Consider the following 19,578-nt stretch of genomic DNA (forward strand, 5'->3'; position numbering starts at 1 on the left):
CTCCAGCCTGGGCAACAGAGCAAGACCCCGTCTCAAAAAATAAATAAATAATAAAAAAAAGGCAAAGATTAGTTAGATATCAATAATTGAGGTTCGTTAACTCTGTTCACTTTCTTTCCTTGTGAATCACTGAAAATGACAACCTCAGAGGTTAGCACCTTAGACCAAAATAAATCCTCAATGTTTTTCTGCTTTAGCGTGCATGCAATAATCTACTAAACTAAGTCACATTTTTAGGGTAAGGTGGCACTAAATTAAAGTATCCTCGAGAGATTATTAAATTCTTCTTACCCCCAAGTTCTGGCAGGATGGTAACATATGTTCCATAAAGAAGAGGCAGTGCATCATGATTAATATGTAAATGAGGTAGATGAGGGATAAAATCATTACCAACAAGAAACCCCATCAAAATCCAATCATCTATTATCCTTTCAATATCATATTTAAATGTGATCTTTTCCTACAGTAAAATAGAGAACAAAGTCAAATCCAGTGAAAATTTCTGCAATGGAAATCCTTGGTCCATGGCTTTATTAATACTTACTTTTAATACTGAAAACTCATAGTCAATATACTCTCTCATTAAAGACAAGTGTAGAAGGTGAAATGTAGTTTCTTCTGGAGCACATACCCTGGAATTAGTCAGATGATCAAGATACAGTGAATTTTATTTTTAAGGTCCCAGCTTAAAAATGTAACAAAGCTTAAATCAAAAGTATCATCAGAAGATAGTAAGGTCTTGTAATTAAGGCATACAATTTATATGAAGGTTGCAGGGTAACAAAGATAAAAATACAATTGCAATAATAGATAATACATGTTAAAGTTCAAAACAATTGGTTTACATTATGTGTTCTGTGGAAGGATTCTCAGAATTAAGAAGTCCTAAATAACATATAGTAGAAGTAAGAAACTACTGAGATCTGGCCCATTTAAGGCTGGTCTTTTCAACAAATAATGCAAGGAAGATTGGATATCCACATGCAAAAGAATGAAGTTGGGCCCTTACCTTACACTACACACTAAAATTAACTCAAAATGAATCAAAGATCTAACCATAAAAGTTAAAACTTGAAAACTCCTAAAAAAAGAAGAATAAATGAGTTGGATTATAACAAAATTAAAAACGTTTGTGCATCAAAGGACACTATCAACATAGTGAAAAGGCAACCTACGGAATGAGATAAAGTATTTACAAACATGTATCTGTTAAAGAATTACTATCCAGGCGTAATTTCTTTCTTCCAACATATATGCTATATAATTTACCGTTGTGTTTTTTTGCCACCAAATCGAACTTCTTCTCTTAAGAGAGAAAAATGTGCCTCATGACTTGTTAATCCAAGCATAATCTGTTGAAAAATGATTAAGAAATGTTTTTATTCTCCCATTTTTAATAATATTAGGTTCACAAAAGCAATTAAAAAACAATTCTATACAAGGAAGAATAAGAAACAATTAGCACATTAAATATACAAATAACAAAATATGATCTATTTGTAGGTAATGAATGAGATAAAGTGTACTTTTCTAAGAAAAATATGTTCACCTTAGCTCACATGCTTTTCATAACCATTACCCTATCCCCTGTCCCCTCTCCTCTTCCTATCCCTCCAAATCCCAAACATCTTCTCTTGGTTTTCACATATTTCTACTTGCCGTGGGGGAACTGGTTAGAAATTAGAGGCAGCAGCTTTTCTATGACCAAAGAATGCAGGACTCTTTTGGAGACCAGGATAGCCCCAGTATATGAAAACTCAGGAAAAAAAAAAATGGAAAAGAGCACTTCCAGTTAATTTTCTCACATAGTATCTTTTTTTTTTGAGACAGAGTCTCGCTCTGTTGCCCAGGCTGGAGCAGTGGCGCGATCTTGGCTCACTGCAACCTCCACCTCCCAGGTTCAAGCAATTCTCCCTGCCTCAGCCTCCAGAGTAGCTGGGATTACAGGTATCTGCCTCTATGCCTGGCTAATTTTTGTATTTTTTAGTAGAGATGGGGTTTAGCCATGTTGGCCAGGCTGGTCTTGAACTCCTGACCTTAGATGATCTGGCCGCCTCGGCCTCCCAAAGAGATGGGATTACAGGCATGAGCCACCTTGCCCGGCCTCTCACACAGTATTCTAATACCCCAAGTAAGTCAACAGTCTGTTGACACATATCAATCAAACGCCATGTACTTGCATACTGTTTATTTCAATCTTGATTCAAACAAGAAAACAAAATGAAACATTTATGAGGCAATCAGGGAAATGATAATACTAACTGGTTATTTCTATATTAAGAAAAGGTTAATTTCTGTTTTAGGTGGGATGATGGCATTGTGGTTATATATTTTTTCTTAAAAAAACACCTTAATCCTTTAGAGAAACATTATGAAACATATACAAATTAATGATAAAATGTTTAGGATTTGCTTTAATAATCGGGCGGGGAGTGGGTAGGAGGGAGAGGAGACAGATGATTAGGGGTAGAAATTTAAAATTATTTAAGTTAGATGAAGGGTATACGATGTTCATTATATTACCTTTTCTATTTTTGTTTATGCTTGAAAATTTCCATAATAAAAAGTTAATGCCAAAAAGTCTACTAAAGGTATCTGGAGCATGGAGTTTTCAGATAAGGAGGTATTAAAAGCCAAGTATTAAGCCTGAGGGTAAAAAAGCAGCCCCATTTCTCTGACCTTGGCAAAGTATTCACAGCACTAGGATTAGTCACACCTGTAGACTAATTATAGAGATCTGTTGGTCAATAAACTATGGTTAAAAAGCTCATTTTCCAATGATTTTTAGAAATTTGGTAATGATAGAAGTAGCAATCATTATTGTGTCTCCAATATTTGTTGCCACAGCCAGTAAGCTTCCTGTACAAAATGAAATCTCTTAGATATTTAACTATCAATGCATAAGTTTATAATAATAAAAATTATACCTACCAAGTCAGCATCTAAACCATAAAGACAGTGTCTGGTGTTTGGATCATGATCTGGCTTTGCTTTCTCGGATCTGATAAATTCCATGATTTTATGCTCTCCTTCTCCAGGAGTCTAAATAAAATTGTTTTTAAAAATGCAGTAATATGGTATATGCTTGAGAATATTAAATACTTTTTTTAAACTCTTTAAATAAAAAAAGATAATAACCTCATGGCCTGAGAAGTAGATGGTAACTCCTTGCCATGACTTGTCTGTGGAAATTTTCATATTTACAAAATACTTCAGATGTTCATGTAACCTGGCCATAAATTCAGTTCCTAAAAATAATGTTTTAAAAAGGTTAATCTAAGAAAGACATAAAAACATTAAGTTCTCAGTGACAACACATAACTGAATCTGAGTACGCCGGGAATAGCTAGGTAGGTATAGGATCTCCAAAGAAGGTCAAAAGCTCTCTTGCTTATCCTGAAAAACAAGTAATGTACTTTTCCCTTGCAAATATCACAACTGTTTCTAATGTCACTAGTCCCCCTAAATAGAATCAGTGTCACACAGGGAAAGTCAAGGAATTTTACTAGTGTCTCAGCACTGTGCTTCAGGAATTTTCATGTAAGGGCAGAGTTTGAGATCTCTAATGAACCTCAACCTTCTATTTCTTCTGCTGAATTCTGAAGGTTTTTTTTTTTAAGGCTTGCAGCTTAAATCAGATTGTCAATAATAATAATAATATTACTACTGAAATTATTATTCTGAAAAATTATTATTAATTTGGAACCTGAGTCTACAATGATTACATTTTGGGAAAGGCTCAGATGGTCAACAGTCAAAAGCAATACAGTCTAAAACCACAATCAGGATAAAACCGGTTGTTAAACTGAGCAATGTGTGACCAATGCACTTAAAGAAAGGGCAAATTACCACTGTTAGTAAAGAACTGATGAGAAAGTTAGATTTTAAGATTTTCATTCAAAGTAAAGAATTATATGATGTTAGACAAAGGTTGTAGAAGTATATAGAGTATGCTGCTGCATACAAAATTAAACATAATACTGATAAATTCATTTTCCTTAAAGTCATAAAAATCTTAACTAATTTTGAGAAGCAGAGTAGTAAGTGCCCTGGACTAGGAGAATCAGTTTCTTACTCTGACTACCACAATCTAGCTACATCAACTTGATAAGCTACAACCTCACTGAGTCTGTTTTAACATAAATAAATGGCAGGAATAGGACAGAAAGATATATAAACATAAGTTTCTTCAAGGTCTGCAATTCTGTCCACCTGGGAGATTCCTGTCCATATCTGCTCTAATTTATCTACATCTGAAAATCCCTACAGTTTTTGTAGGAGTATTTATGACCAAGGTGACCAAATCGTCTCATGAGCAAACATAAGTGGGAAAATACAGTAAATGGAACCCTAAGGCCAAAATAAATAGAGCATAGAAAATAAAATACATTTAAAAACCAAGTTTTCAATTTATATTTCAATTCTGTCATAATTTGTCTCTCAGTGAATTTACCTGGTGTGATACAGTTGGAATCAAATCTGGCCTCTGTAGGAAGAGTTTCTCCCTTCTCTATTGCCTTTTTAATTTTGTCTTCTGCCTCCTTTGCTGACCTTAAAGGTTAAGGGAAAAAAGTACCTTAAGTTTTCTGAAAAAAAGTGAAGATCTTTATATAAACTGCTATGTAGGTGCCTTTATAACTAAAATAGTAATTCACCAGTTTTAACGTTCAAAACATACAAGTTTTGAAATGATTATGATTGATAAAAATGAGCCCCAGACTTGTCTGTTTTGTTTATTTAAAGAATTGAATTTTTCAGGCCAGGTGCAGTGGCTCATGCCTGTAATCTCAATATTTTGGGAGGCCAAGGTGGGAAGAACAATTGAGTCTAGGAGTTCAAGACCAGCTTGGGCAACAAAGCAAGATCCCATCTCTACAAAAATAAAAAAAATTATTAGCCAGGTACAGGGGCATGTGCCTATAGTCTCAGCTAGTTGGGAGGCTGAGGCAAAAGGATCCCTTGAGCCCAGGAGCTCAAGATTGCAATGAGTGATGATTGTACCCACTGCACTCCAGGCTGTGTGACACAGTGAGTCTCTGTCTCATTTAAAAAAAAAAAAATTGAATTTTTCGGATTAGGAATACAGAAGTAGAACATTTTAACAGAATGTTAAAAACATAAAATAATTATTGTCACAAATATATGGCAAATTCATTCTAAAAATAAGATCAAAAGTATAGCTTTAAATGTTCATTATATATACTACATCTAATGATAATGACATTTAATGATCTTAATCATCATTTAATGTATACATTTAAGATCATTAAAATTATCCCTAAGATTATATAAAAATGCAATTATAAAATTGAAATATCTATCTTTGTGTTTCCTAAAAACATTTAAAATGAAAGCCTAATGACATTAATGAAATCAACTGCAAAATCATCACATTTTTGAGGCAACAGAATTTACTAGAAAGAACCTGAGTTTTACAGTCAGGCAAACCTGGATTTGAATATGGGTGTCCTACTACCTGCCTGACTTCTACTGCCACCCCTTTGCAGCGTACCAGCATGCCACATGGCATACAAGTTAGGAAGCTCTGCTTTGAGTATAGTTTCTACAGCCTTGCTACTAGCTTCATCTACTGTGCCCCACACAATTCTATTTCTGTGATGAACAAACTCTTCTTCAAGTTTAACTTCTCTCTCACCAACCTCTTTAACATAACAAAAACTCTGAGGATATCAACTTGTTTGTATTATCTGCAATGTCTTCTTTCCTCTTTTCTTCCCTTCCTTCTTTGGCTGACCAAACGATTATTCAATGTTGTTATGTCACAAGGTCTTGGGATATAACAAAAGAGAAATTATTCTTGGCCAGGTGCGGTGGCTCACACCTGTAATCCCAGCACTTTGGGAGGCCAAGGCAGGTGGATTACCTAAGGTCAGGAGTTTGAGACCAGCCTGGCCAACATGGTGAAACCCCATCTCTGTTAAAAATACAAAAAGAATTAGCCGGGTGTGGTGGTGCGGCCTGTAGTCCCAGCTACTTGGGAGGCTGAGACAGGAGATTCGCTTGAACCCAGGGGGCAGAGGCCATAGTGAGCCGAGATCACATCACTGCACTCCAGCTTGGGCGAGACAGAGCAAGACTCTCCAAAAAAAAAAAAAAAAAAAAATTATTTCTGTTCTGAGATTACACTCTAGTGGGGAGGTAGAAAATTAAACAGCCATAATGTTTAATCTGGATGCAATAAAGAAAATGTTTGACAGGAACAAGGTAAGACTATTGAAGTAATCTAGATTAAGATAATGGTAGTCTAGGCTGAGACAGTAGCATTAAAGATGAAAAGAAGTAGACAGATGTGACAAATTTGAGACTGGATAAAGAGGACTGGATGTGAGGAATGAGGAAGAGCAAGAAGTCCAAATAACTCTTGGACTTTTGGATTAGGTAGCTAGTGGCAGGTGTTGCCATTCATTGAAATAGGAAACACAGAAGGCAGACTGTTTTAAGGGGAAGATGAGTTCAGTTCTAAATATGTTAACCCTGAAGTATATCTGGGGTTTCCAAAAGGAGACATTTAGTAGGCATTTGGATATATAGGAGCTTAGGAGAAAGCGATCCACCAGAAAGATAAATTTGGAGTCATCAGCAGAGACATAGTAATCAAAGCCATTGGATGAAATCACTCAGAGCCTAGGACAGAAACTTAAGAAACATTAATATTTAAGAAACACAAAGGAAGAAAAGAAGACAAGGAGACTAAGAAAGTACAAAGAGAGAATGTGGTTACATGATGGTCAAGGAAAGGGAGAAGCTCAAGAAAGAATGGTCAACATTGTTAAATGCTGTGGATAAATGAAATAAGTTGAAGAAAGAAGTATTCTTTGGATTTAGCCATAATCTTTTTTTTTTTTTTTTTTTTTGAGACAGAGTTTCACTCTGTCGCCCAGGCTGGAGTGCAGTGGTGTGATCTCAGCTCACTGCATCCTCCGCCTCCTGGGTTTAAGCAATTCTCTGCCTCACCCTCCCGAGTAGCTGGGATTACAGGCGACCACCACCACACCTGGCTAATTGTTTTTGTATTTTTAGTAGAGACGGGGTTTCACCACCTTGGCTAGGCTGATCTTGAACTCCTGACCTTGTGATCCACCCGCCTGGGCCTCCCAAAGTGCTGGGATTACAGGTGCGAGCCACCACGCCCGGCCTGGATTTAGCCGTAATCTTGTCAGGAAATTTTAGTGGCATGGTGGGGATAAAAGAAGGCAGATTTAGAAATAAGTAAAACAGGGAATTATGAATGGAGAAGGTCATCACTGTAGAGAATGGCAGAAAACTGACTAGGGGATTTCTAGGAAAAATGTAGTGCTCAATACCAGCACAGTATTTAATAAATGCTTGTGGTGGTTATAATGCATTGGCCCTCAACTTCCATTCCATTTCCTTTTAGTTTACCTTCTGACACCAGGTAGGTTAGAAAGTTCTCAGGCTTCCCTGAAGCTAAGTGTCTTCATATGACTCAGATTTTGCCAATTAGATGCCTCCATATAAGGTTTGGAAAGTGGAAGTGTGGTGGTGCCTGCATCACAATTGAGGCACTGGAGCTCTAGTATGTCTGTATATTTCAGCAATGGTAAAGAAGATCCCAGTATTCAGTATCTTTAGAGGTGCTGATAAGCAAGGAACAGGGAATCAGTTTTTTTCAGTGCAGATCTAGCAGGTGCACTGTAGCTCTGGAACAGATGCAGCTGTAGCTTCCTAATTGCTGAATTGTAACTATAGTGATGTATTCTTAGAGCCCCAAGTGACAGCTTCTTAATTATTGGATCACAGATAAAGGAGTAAGTTCCCGAAACCACCCATTTTGGTAGGGGGCTCTGAACTCCTCACGTTACCTGAATGTGGTAATAGTTCTGCCACTGGTGAGTCAGTTCTGTAGTGCTGTTTGGGAAGTTATCCCTTACGGCTCACCTAGATTCCCGCCCTTTTGGCTTTACAGTGATTTTTATAAACACCCAATTCCCTGAATTACACCCCTTTTTGTCTGAAATAGCTAGAGTGCTTTCTATCACCTGCAACTGAACCCAGACTGATGTAGTAGGTTTATAAAATCCCTCCTTAACACTAGATCTTCTAGGCTAGTGGCTCCCAAAAACTACTTTAACAAATACCAGGGGAGTATGGTAAAAAATAGTTCCCAGGAGTTTCTCAACTACTAGAGATTCTGATAGAGTAAGTCTTGGGTGGTATTTGAGAATTTAAATATTACTCAGAGATGGCCCTTGCCTTCAAAGATCTCACAGTCTTTCTAAAAATTTCAGTATCTTTTTTCTTTTGATATTGAAATCAGTACTTTTTGCCATCCTCTTCCTCTCACCGGCAGCCTTCTTCAAAGCACCGTCCCACCTTCTTTGATGACTTCCACATTGGATGTGCAGATGGTCTTTCCACTCCTTTACTTGCCATTATGATTGAAGGACTCATTATGCTAATGACCCGTCAAACACTCTCCACTAGGGATTTCTTGCCTTCAATTCTAACCTTTACTTCTGTTACCCATGAACCGGGACACAGCCTGATCTCACTGTTACACAGAAATATTCCACATGTCCAGGAATGAACTTTAAAATCCTAGTGTGTAACCTCTTCTCATCCTTTTACTTCTCCTACCGCCTAAGTCACACAGTGGTGCTGATAATACCCTGAATTTCCTAACTTAGCTCACTTCTCACAGTCCATCAATTGCATTCTGATCTCACTTGCCTTTCTGCCCAATCTGGACTTATGCTCAGTCAAAAATCAGCATCTAACCCAGAGTCTGGGCATTCAATACACGTTTGTTGAATTAAGTGTCAATAATGTTCTCATTAGAAGAACCTCTTAGTTCACTTTCTAGTTACCATCCCAGGGCAGACTACTATTGGAGCTTTTCTCTACTACAGTACTATCATTTGCAAATTATCAATGAGAAGTATAAAAACTTGTGACAGAAAACAAAAGTGTGACTTTATAAGCAAGGAACAGGGAATCAGTTTTTTTCAGTACAGATCTAGCAACTGCACTGTAGCTTGGGAACTAACAGATGCAGCAGTAGCTTCCTAATTGCTGAACTGTAACTACAGTGATGTATTCTTAGAGCCCCAGGTGACACCAAAACCTGGCCAGACGTGGTGGCTCACACCTGTAATCCCAGCACTTTGGGAGGCCAAGGTAGGCAGATCACTTGAGGTCAGGAGTTCAAGACCAGCCTGGCCAACAGAGTGAAACCCTGTCTCTATTAAAAATATTAAAAATTGGCTGGGCACGGTGGCTCACACCTGTAATCCCAGCACTGTGGGAGGCTGAGGTGGGTGGCTCACCTGAGGTGAGGAGTTTGAGATCAGCCTGGCCAACGTGGTGAAACTCCGTCTCTACTAAAAATACAAAAATTAGCTGGGTGTGGTGGCGGGCACCTGTAATCACAGCTACTTGGGAGGCTGAGGCAGGAGAATCACTTGTGCCTGGGAGGCGGAGGTTGTAATGAGCCGAGATCGCGCCACTGCACTCCAGCCTGGGCGACAAGAGCAAAACTCCATCTCAAAAAAAAAATTATATATAATATTAAAAAATATATATATTATATATAATATATTATATTATATATATTATATATAATATATATATTATATATATAAATATATATAATATAATATATTGTATATATTATATAATATATTATATATAATATAATATATTGTATATATTATATAATATATTGTATATATATAAATATATATTTTTTTAATATATATAATCTTTTTGAGACGGAGTTTTGCATATATATATGCAAAAATAAATAAATTATACATATAAAATATATACATTATATATAAATATATAAATATATTTTCATATATATAAAATATATAATATATAATTTATATATAAATATATAAAATGTTTTATATATAAAATTTATTTTATATATAATTAATTATATATATAATTAATTATATATATATAAAATTTATTTTATATATATATATAAAAAATTAGCTGGGTCCGGTGGCGCTTGGCTGTAATCCCAGCTAGTTAAGAGGCTGAGGCACCGATAATCACTTGAACTGGGGAGGCAGATATTACAGTGAGCTAAGACTGTACCACTGCACTCCAGCCTGGGTGATAGAGTGAGATTCTGTCTCAACAAACAAACAAACAAACGAACAAGAGAACCTCCAACATATGTTTTGAGAAAGGACATCTCACTGAGTTCCTAACTCATTACTCGACTGGTAAAATATGACACTGAGATATTTCCATTTCTGGGGGAGTTTACGCAGAAAATAAACATGAACAGAAGATTGTGTTAAATCAATTATCTTTAAAATAACATATTTTTACTAAGCTAAATAATATTCCAAAATAAAACATAAATGTTTTACCTAAAACGCCTCCCACGCTGCTGGTTCATTTTTGCTCGAGGAGCCACACCATCTACAGCCATAAAGAACACTTTCCTGGGTTTAATAATGCGAAACAACACCTCCAGGTAGTGAAAAATATCAGTAAAGATTTTATCATCTGAAATTCTAAAGTGAACATCATCATCATTAGGATGGGAGCACTGATGTATAATTCCATTCATATCCAGGTACAAGTTGTCAAATTCAGGAATCTGAAAAACAAAGAAAAATGCTTGAGATCATTTATTTTAATCAACTACAGATATCTTAAGCAGCAGGGAAAAGTGATTATTCAATGATGAAAAGCAGGATTTGTGTATTCTATTATACAAAAACTGAGTAAACAATCACAGATGAATACAAAAAGTAAAGAATTGGTAATATGGTGACAAATTTGGTTTTATATAATGCACCAATGACTTGATCAAATTTACTGTCAGAAAATAATCTACTTATTCAAAATAATAAGCTCCAAGAAAACACCAAATAAAGTGCTTGGTTCATTTGGTACTCAAAATATTAGTTTCGTTCCTTCCTACCATTTGACATTAACTCCTCAAAACCTCAATTTCCTCTATAATGGGTAACAAAAAGCCCATTTACATCAAAAGGCTGTTTGTACATGGTTACTGAAACATTTAACATATGATGTAAAGCCTAATTGTATACTTAGTTTCACTGAAGCAGTCACTGATTGGTTATATTAATTTTTAAAATGTTAGATTATGCCAAGAAATTTATGAAACTGAAACCTGAAAAACAGATTTCTTGTTTGTGATATGTGGGTTAATAATTTGTAAGCTCCGAATAACAAACATCTGCTTTTATAAGAAGACCTTAATGGCTCTCTCATTTATTTTTCCTCTATTTAAATGTTTGTGTTGGAACTCTTGGTCCCACCAGGAACAAAAATTTTTTTAACTAAAAATAAAAAAAGTAAATGTTTGTGAGGATGGGGAACATTACTGAAACAAATACACATTAAGATGGAACTGAAATGGGTAAAACTAAAGAGTTATATTTTGTACTGTAATAAAAGAATCTTAGAATAGAGTCTGCCTTACATATTCATTAAAGTAAATTACTTTGAATTTTTTCCTTGTATAAACATAATAGAAATCACTTCTGAAACAGTAATTCAAGTTTTACAACACGTACAAGTAACAATATATTTTCCTGCTACTGAGAAAATGGCATGCCTTTGAGTTTTGGGAGTGAAAAGTTTTGGTCTCTGAATCAATGAACACCATCAAAACATATTTTTATGAAATACCTATTTATATAGTATTGTATGTACAAGCATAACATAAAAATTCTGGAATGTTCTTACTGACAGGCTGAACTGAAATGACAGTTGTAACCATGAGAGTTTTAAAGTGCACTCAAGATTTACTGTTTATTCCAAGAAATCTGAAAACCTCAATGAAAATCTCAGTGTGACTTTTCAACAGGGGTATTTTATTTATTTTTATTTTTATTTTTTGAGACAGGGTCTCGATCTGTCACCCAGGCTGGAGTGCAGTGGTGCGATCTCGGCTCACTGCAGCCTCCACCTCCCAGGCTCAAGCAATCCTCCCACCTCAACCTTCAGTGTAGCTGGGACCACTGACACATGACAACAAACGTGATAATTTCATATCTTTTTCACACGCTAATTTTCATATCTTTTGTATGAAAAAATACCAGCCATGTTGCCCAGGTTGGTCTTGAATTCCCGAGCTCAAGCGATTTGCCTGCCCAGGCCTCCCAAAGTGATGGAATTACTACAGGTGTGAGCCACTGCGCCTGGCCTCAGCATCAACGACTTGATCAAATTTTTTTTTTTACACTTTTTTTTTTTTTTTTTTTACATTTTACAGAACGATTTTCCAAAGTTTTCCTAGGAGAATAAATATGCAATAATAGCCAAGAAGAGTATTAAAAAGAAGAATAAGCTGGGTGTGGCAGCACGTGTCTGTTCTAGCTACTTGAGAGACTGAAGTGAGAGAATCTTTGAACCCATAGGTTCAAGGCTGCAGTGAGTGGTGATTGCATCACCAAACTCCAGCGTGGGAGACAGAGTAAGACCCTTTGTCTCTATAAAACAAACAAACAAAAAGAAGAATCAAAGGAAATTTGCCCTAGATAAGTTATCAAACAGATGGTTTGAATGGAAATTTAGTATATAAAAAATAAAACTCCATCTTACGCTAAAACAAAAGAAATTCCAGAAGGATTAAAAATTTTACTGTAAGAAATGTAACAAAAAAATTACATACAAATATTTTTAAACTCTTAGGGTAGGAAAAGCCAGAAATCATAAAGCAAATAAATGGTAGAGTTATCTAAAAATGTATTGTTTTACATATATAGGGTTAAAAAGCGCCATATATAATTCAATTAAAAATGACAAAACGTAGGGAAATGTTTGCAAATTAGAAGTCAACATCTCTGGCCGGGCGCGGTGGCTCACGCCTGTAATCCCAGCACTTTGAGAGGCCGAGGAGGGCAGATCACGAGGTCAGGAGATCGCGACCATCCTGGCTAACACGGTGAAACCCCGTCTCTACTAAAAAAATACAAAAAAATTAGCTGGGCTTGGTGGCAGGTGCCTATAGTCTCAGCTACTCGGGAGACTGAGGCAGGAGAATGGCGTGAACCCAGGAGGCGGAGCTTGCAGTGAGCGGAGATCGAGCCACTGCACTCCAGCCTGGGCAACTGAGCAAGACTCTGTATCAAAAAAAAAAAAAAGAAGTCAACATCTCTAACACATAAAAAATACTGAAATACTGAAATATAAGAAAAAGAGCAAATTTTTGACTGGGCACGGTGGCTCACACCTGTAATCCCAGCACTTTGGGGGCCAAGGTAGGTGGATCACTTGAGGTCAGGAGTTCAAGATCAGCCTGGCCAACAAAGTGAAACCATCTCTACCAAAAATACAAAAATTAGCCTGGGTGGTGGCGCATGCCTGTAATCCCAGGTACTTAGAAGGCTGAAGCATGAGAATCGCTTGCACCTGGGAGGTGGAGGTTCCAGTGAGCTGAGATCATGCCACTGCACTCCAGCCTTGGCAACAGAGTGAAACTGTCCCCACCCCCCAAAAAAAAAAAAAAAAAAAGGCCAGGTGCAGTGGCTCACGCCTGTAATCCCAGCACTTTGGGAGGCCAAGGCGGGTGGATCACAAGGTCAGGAGATCGAGACCATTCTGTGAATGGTGAAACCCCATCTCTACTAAAAATACAAAAAATTAGCTGGGCGTGGTGGTGGGCGCCTGTAGTCCCAGCTACCTGGGAGGCTGAGGCGGGAGAATGGCGTGAACCCAGGAGGCGGAGCTTGCAGTGAGCTGAGATCGTGCCGCTGCACTCCAGCCTGGGCGACAGAGCGAGACTCCACCTCAAAAAAAAAAAAAAAAAAAAAAATTTAAAGCAATCACAGAAAATGGAAAGCAATTCAGAAATGAATAAACAAAAAAGTCATAAGTCTAATAAGCACATGAAAAGATGTTCACCATCCAAAATTTCTCATTGAAATAACACATCATTTTCCCACATTAGTAAAAATTAAAGAGACTGATGTTACCCAGTATTAACAGGGCTTTGGGGAAGCACATATTTCATGTTATTAAAAGCAATGGCTGGCATTTATTATGCAATTATTAGGTATTAAACATTGGGCTAAATATGTATATTCATTCTCTGACTTAATTATAACAACCTTAAAAGATAAATATTTAGCATTCTAATTTTAGAGAAAAGTCGTGGAGCTAGAAAAACAGAAATAGGGTTTATACCCAATAGTTTGGGACTAGAATGTAAATTGGCATAACTAATCACAAAGTACGAATTAAAATTTGAAACGTGTATCTTTGACCCAGGATTTCTACTATTGAAAATTTATCCTGAAAAATAATCAGATATGATTAACTTGTAAAGATGAAGTATAAAATATTCATGGCAGTATTGTACAGAAAAGATAAAAATAGAAAACTGATGATGGTACATCCATACAATGGAATTCAACACAGCAATTACAAATTATGAAATAGATTCATATTTGGCATGGAATAATATGCATAATATATATCATCAAGTGACAAAGGCAGGGTATAAAACAGCAGGTAAAGTATCCTATTTATAGGAAATATTTATTTACATACGTATCTGCATAGAAAAGTTAGAAAGTATATAAAAACAAGATGTTACTAGGGGTCAACCATGGATGATGAAAGCTTTTTACTTTCCTCTAGACTATACAATAATTTTTATATTTTTCCGCATTATCTGAATTTTTTAAAATAATGAGCATATATTACCTTTATAATCTAAAAAATACCCCATATAATTTTCCTTTTAGAAAAGAAATATTTGAAAAATTCTCTTAGGTTTCAGACTAGTAAGAAAGACAAAGAATAATTAATCATTGGCCAATGTGTTGAATAAAGTGAGAACATGCAGTAGAACTTTGCTCCCATACAAAGAGATTACTGATAATGTAGTTTCTCTTCTCAGTTATTACATTGGCAAGTTAGAAATTTCAAGGTTATTTTATACTCTCTGCCTTCTCCAATCCCATATCCAATTAGTCACTGAGGTATTTTTCTTTTTAATTTAACATCCAAAATGTTTCTAGAATCTTACCATCTTATCCATTTCCACTGTCTTAGGTAATCTCATCCTTTTCTCTATGCCCAGATCTCCCACACTGGTCCATGCCCCTCAGTTTCCCAACAGAACTGCTTGCTTCCAGTTTTCTCTCTCACCACAGTTTAGCTATTTTTCTAAAACATAATCTGATCACATTGCTTCCTTACCTAAACCCATAGGATACTACAAATCCTTAATAGCATAAAAGGTCCTGCATGATTTGGCTGCTATTTTCCCCACCAATCCTATATTCTTTCCTCTTTCTACATATCTTTACAAGCTACTACAAGAAAACATTGAGGAAAATCTCTAGGACATTGGTCTGGGCAAAAATGTCTTAAGTAATATCCCACAAGCATAGGAAACTAAAGCAAAAATGGAGAAATGGGATCACATCAAGTTAAAAAGCTTCTGCACAGCATAGGAAACAATCAGCAAAGTGAAGAGACAACCCATAGAATGGAAGAAATGTATTTGCAAACTACTCACCTGACAAGGGATTAATAATCAGAATATACAACGAGCTCAAACAACTCTATAGGATGAAATCTAATAATCCAATCAAAAATGGGCAAAAGATCTGAACAGACATTTCTCAAAAAAGGACACACAAATGGCAAATAGGAACATGACAAGGTGCTCAACATCACTGATCATCAGAGAAACGCAAATCAAAACTACAATGAGATATCATCTTACCCCAGTTAAAATGGCCTTTATCCAAAAGACAGGCTACAACAAATGCTAGCAAGGATGTAGAGAAAAGGGAACCCTCATACACTGTTGGCAGGAATGTAAATTAGTACAACCACTATGAAGAACAGTTTGAAGGTTCTTCAAAAAACTAAAAATAACTAGAATCCAGCAGCCCAGACCCCTTTCTTTGTGGTCAAGAAAGGCGGGAAAACAGGTGCAGGACTGCTACATTGGGGAGCGTAACTAATCCGATAGGCAGAGGTCCGTGGGGAGTTACGCACCCTGGAAAGGAACTCACCCCTGAGCACAAAGGCAATTTTGGGCACGCTGGTAAAGGACCACTAGAATCCAGCAGTCCAGACCCTTTTCTTTGTGGTCAAGAGAGGCGGGAAAACAGGTGCAGGACTGCTACATCGGTAAGCGTAACTAATCCGATAAGCAGAGGTCCATGGGTGGTTACGCACCCTGGAAAAGAATAAGCATTAGGCCCTTACAGGACGCTCTAGGACTAATGCTCATTGGAAAATGACTAGGGGTGCTGGCATCCCTCTGTTCTTTTTTCAGATGGGAAACGTTCTCCCCCACAAGGCAAAAACGCCCCTAAGATGTATTCTGGAGAATGGGACCAATCTGACCCTCAGACACTAAGAAAGAAATGACTTATACTCTTCTGCAGTACCGCCTGGCCACGATATCCTCTTCAAGGGGGAGAAACCTGGCCTCGTGAGGGAAGTATAGATTATAACACCATCCTACAGCTAGACCTCTTCTGTAGAAAGGAGGGCAAATGGAGTGAAGTGCCATATGTGCAAACTTTCTTTTCATTAAGAGACAACTCGCAATTATGTAAAAAGTGTGGTTTATGCCCTACAGGAAGCCCTCAGAGTCTACCTCCCTATTCCAGTGTCCCCCCGACTCCTTCCCCAACTAACAAGGACCCCCCTTTAACCCAAACGGTCCAAAGGAGACAGACAAAGGGGTAAACAATGAACCAGAGTGCCAATATTCCCCGATTATGCCCCCTCCAAGCAGTGGGAGGAGGAGAATTCGGCCCAGCCAGAGTGCATGTACCTTTTTCTGTCTCAGACTTAAAGCAAATTAAAATAGATCTAGGTAAATTCTCAGATAACCCTGATGGCTATATTGACGTTTTACAAGGGTTAGGACAATCCTTTGATCTGACATGGAGAGATATAATGTTACTGCTAGATCAGACACTAACCCCAAATGAGAGAAGTGCCGCCATAACTGCAGCCCGAGAGTTTGGCAATCTCTGGTATCTCAGTTAGGTCAATGATAGGATGACAACAGAGGAAAGAGAACGATTCCCCACAGGCCAGCAGGCAGTTCCCAGTGTAGACTCTCACTGGGACACAGAATCAGAACATGGAGATTGGTGCCGCAGACATCTGCTAACTTGCGTGCTAGAAGGACTAAGGAAAACTAGGAAGAAGCCTATGAATTATTCAATGATGTCCACTGTAACACAGGGAAAGGAAGAAAATCCTACTGCCTTTCTGGATAGACTAAGAGAGGAATTAAGGAAGCATACCTCCCTGTCACCTGACTCCATTGAAGGCCAACTAATCTTAAAGGACAAGTTTATCAGTCAGCTGCAGACATTAGGAAAAAACTTCAAAAGTCCGCCTTAGGCCCAGAGCAAAACTTAGAAACTCTACTGAACTTGGCAACCTTGTTTTTTTATAATAGAGATCAGGAGGAGCAGGCGGAACAGGACAAACGGGATTAAAAAAAAAAAGGCCACCGCTTTAGTCATGGCCCTTAGGCAAGTGGACTTTGGAGGCTCTGGAAAAGGGAAAAGCTGGGCAAATCGAATGCCTAAAAGGGCTTGCTTCCAGTGCGGTCCGCAAGGACACTTTAAAAAAGATTGTCCAAGTAGAAATAAGCCGCCCCCTTGTCCATGCCCCTTATGTCAAGGGAATCACTGGAAGGCCCACTACCTCAGGAGACGAAGGTCCTCTGAGACGAAGGTCTCAGGAGACGAAGGTCCTGCTGAACCAGATGATCCAGCAGCAGGACTGAGGGTGCCCGGGGAAAGCGCCAGCCCATGCCATCACCCTCACAGAGCCCTGGGTATGCTTTACCACTGAGGGCCAGGAGGTTAACTGTCTCCTGGACACTGGCACGGCCTTCTCAGTCTTACTCTCCTGTCCTGGACAACTGTCCTCCAGATCTGTCACTATCCGAGGGGTCCTAGGACAGCCAGTCACTAGATACTTCTCCCAGCCACTAAGTTGTGACTGGGGAACTTTACTCTTTTCACATGCTTTTCTAATTACGCCTGAAAGCCCCACTCCCTTGTTAAGGAGAGACATTCTAGCAAAAGTAGGGGTCATTATACACCTGAACATAGGAGAAGGAACACCCGTTTGTTGTCCCCTGCTTGAGGAAGGAATTAATCCTGAAGTCTGGGCAACAGAAAGACAACATGGACGAGCAAAGAATGCCCATCCTGGTCAAGTTAAACTAAAGGATTCCACCTCCTTTCCCTACCAAAGGCAGTACCCCCTTAGACCCGAGGCCCAACAAGGACTCCAAAAGATTGTTAAGGACCTAAAAGCCCAAGGCCTAGTAAAACCATGCAATAGCTCCTGCAATACTCCAAATTTAGGAGTACAGAAACCCAACAGACAGTGGAGGTTAGTGCAAGATCTCAGGATTATGAATGAGGCTGTTGTTCCTCTATACCCAGCTGTACCTAACCCTTATACTCTGCTTTCCCAAATACCAGAGGAAGCAGAGCGGTTTACAGTCCTGGACCTTAAGGATGCCTTTTTCTGCAACCCTGTACATCCTGACTCTCAATTCTTGTTTGCCTTTGAAGAGCCTTCGAACCCAACGTCTTAACTCACCTGGACTGTTTTACCCCAAGGGTTCAGGGATAGCCCCAACTATTTGGCTAGGAATTAGCCCAAGACTTGAGCCAATTTTCATACCTGGACACTCTTGTCCTTCGGTACGCGGATGATTTACTTTTGGCCGCCCATTCAGAAACCTTGTGCCACCAAGCCACCCAAGCGCTCTTAAATTTCCTCGCCACCTGTGGCTACAAGGTTTCCAAACCAAAGGCTCAGCTCTGCTCACAGCAGTTTAAATACTTAGGGCTAAAATTATCCAAAGGCACCAGGGCCCTCAGTGGGGAATGTATCCAGCCTATACTGCTTATCCTCATCCCCAAACCCTAAAGCAACTAAGAGGGTTCCTTGGCATAACAGGTTTCTGCCGAATATGGATTCCCAGGTACGGCAAAATAGCCAGACCATTATATACACTAATTAAGGAAACTCAGAAAGCCAATACCCATTTAGTAAGATGGACACCTGAAGCAGAAGTGGCTTTCCAGGCCCTAAAGAAGGCCCTAACCCAAGCCCCAGTGTTAAGCTTGCCAATAGGGCAAGACTTTTCTTTATATATCACAAAAAAACAGGAATAGCTCTAGGAGTCCTTACACAGGTCCGAGGGACGAGCTTGCAACCGTGGCATACCTGAGTAAGAAAACTGATGTAGTGGCAAAGGGTTGGCTTCATTGTTTATAGGTAGTGGCTGCAGTTGCAGTCTTAGTATCTGAAGCAGTTAAAATAATACAGGGAAGAGATCTTACTGTGTGGACACCTCATGATGTGAATGGTATACTCACTGCTAAAGGAGACTTGTGGCTCTCAGACAACCATTTACTTAAATATCAGGCTCTATTACTTGAAGGGCCAGTGTTGCGACTGTGCACTTGTGCAACTCTTAACCCAGCCACATTTCTTCCAGACAATGAAGAAAAGATAGAACATAACTGTCAACAAGTAATTGCTCAAACCTAAGCCGCTCGAGGGGACCTTTCAGAGGTTCCCTTG

The 19,578-nt window shown here is 38.3% G+C and overlaps 1 protein-coding gene across 13 annotated transcripts in view; it reads right to left on the minus strand.

Moving 5' to 3' along the window:
* The window catches only part of XRN1 (5'-3' exoribonuclease 1), a 141,428-nt gene that overhangs the window by 115,681 nt on the left and 6,169 nt on the right, over positions 1–19,578 (minus strand). For 12 of the 13 annotated variants that reach the window (XM_047448357.1, XM_047448356.1, XM_017006640.2 and 9 more), the window contains exons 2-8: positions 10,371–10,603; positions 4,454–4,551; positions 3,139–3,248; positions 2,932–3,042; positions 1,270–1,352; positions 545–632; positions 292–460 (exon numbers count right to left, since the gene is read on the minus strand). In XM_047448357.1, coding sequence (XP_047304313.1) covers positions 292–460; positions 545–632; positions 1,270–1,352; positions 2,932–3,042; positions 3,139–3,248; positions 4,454–4,551; positions 10,371–10,603 — 892 coding nt within the window. Of the gene's footprint in view, positions 1–291; positions 461–544; positions 633–1,269; positions 1,353–2,931; positions 3,043–3,138; positions 3,249–4,453; positions 4,552–10,370; positions 10,604–19,578 lie in introns of those variants that run through there. The other variant, XM_047448358.1, reaches the window with a different exon arrangement.

The sequence above is a fragment of the Homo sapiens genome, chromosome 3 (assembly GCF_000001405.40).
Source record: "Homo sapiens chromosome 3, GRCh38.p14 Primary Assembly".
Classification (NCBI taxonomy): domain Eukaryota; kingdom Metazoa; phylum Chordata; class Mammalia; order Primates; family Hominidae; genus Homo; species Homo sapiens.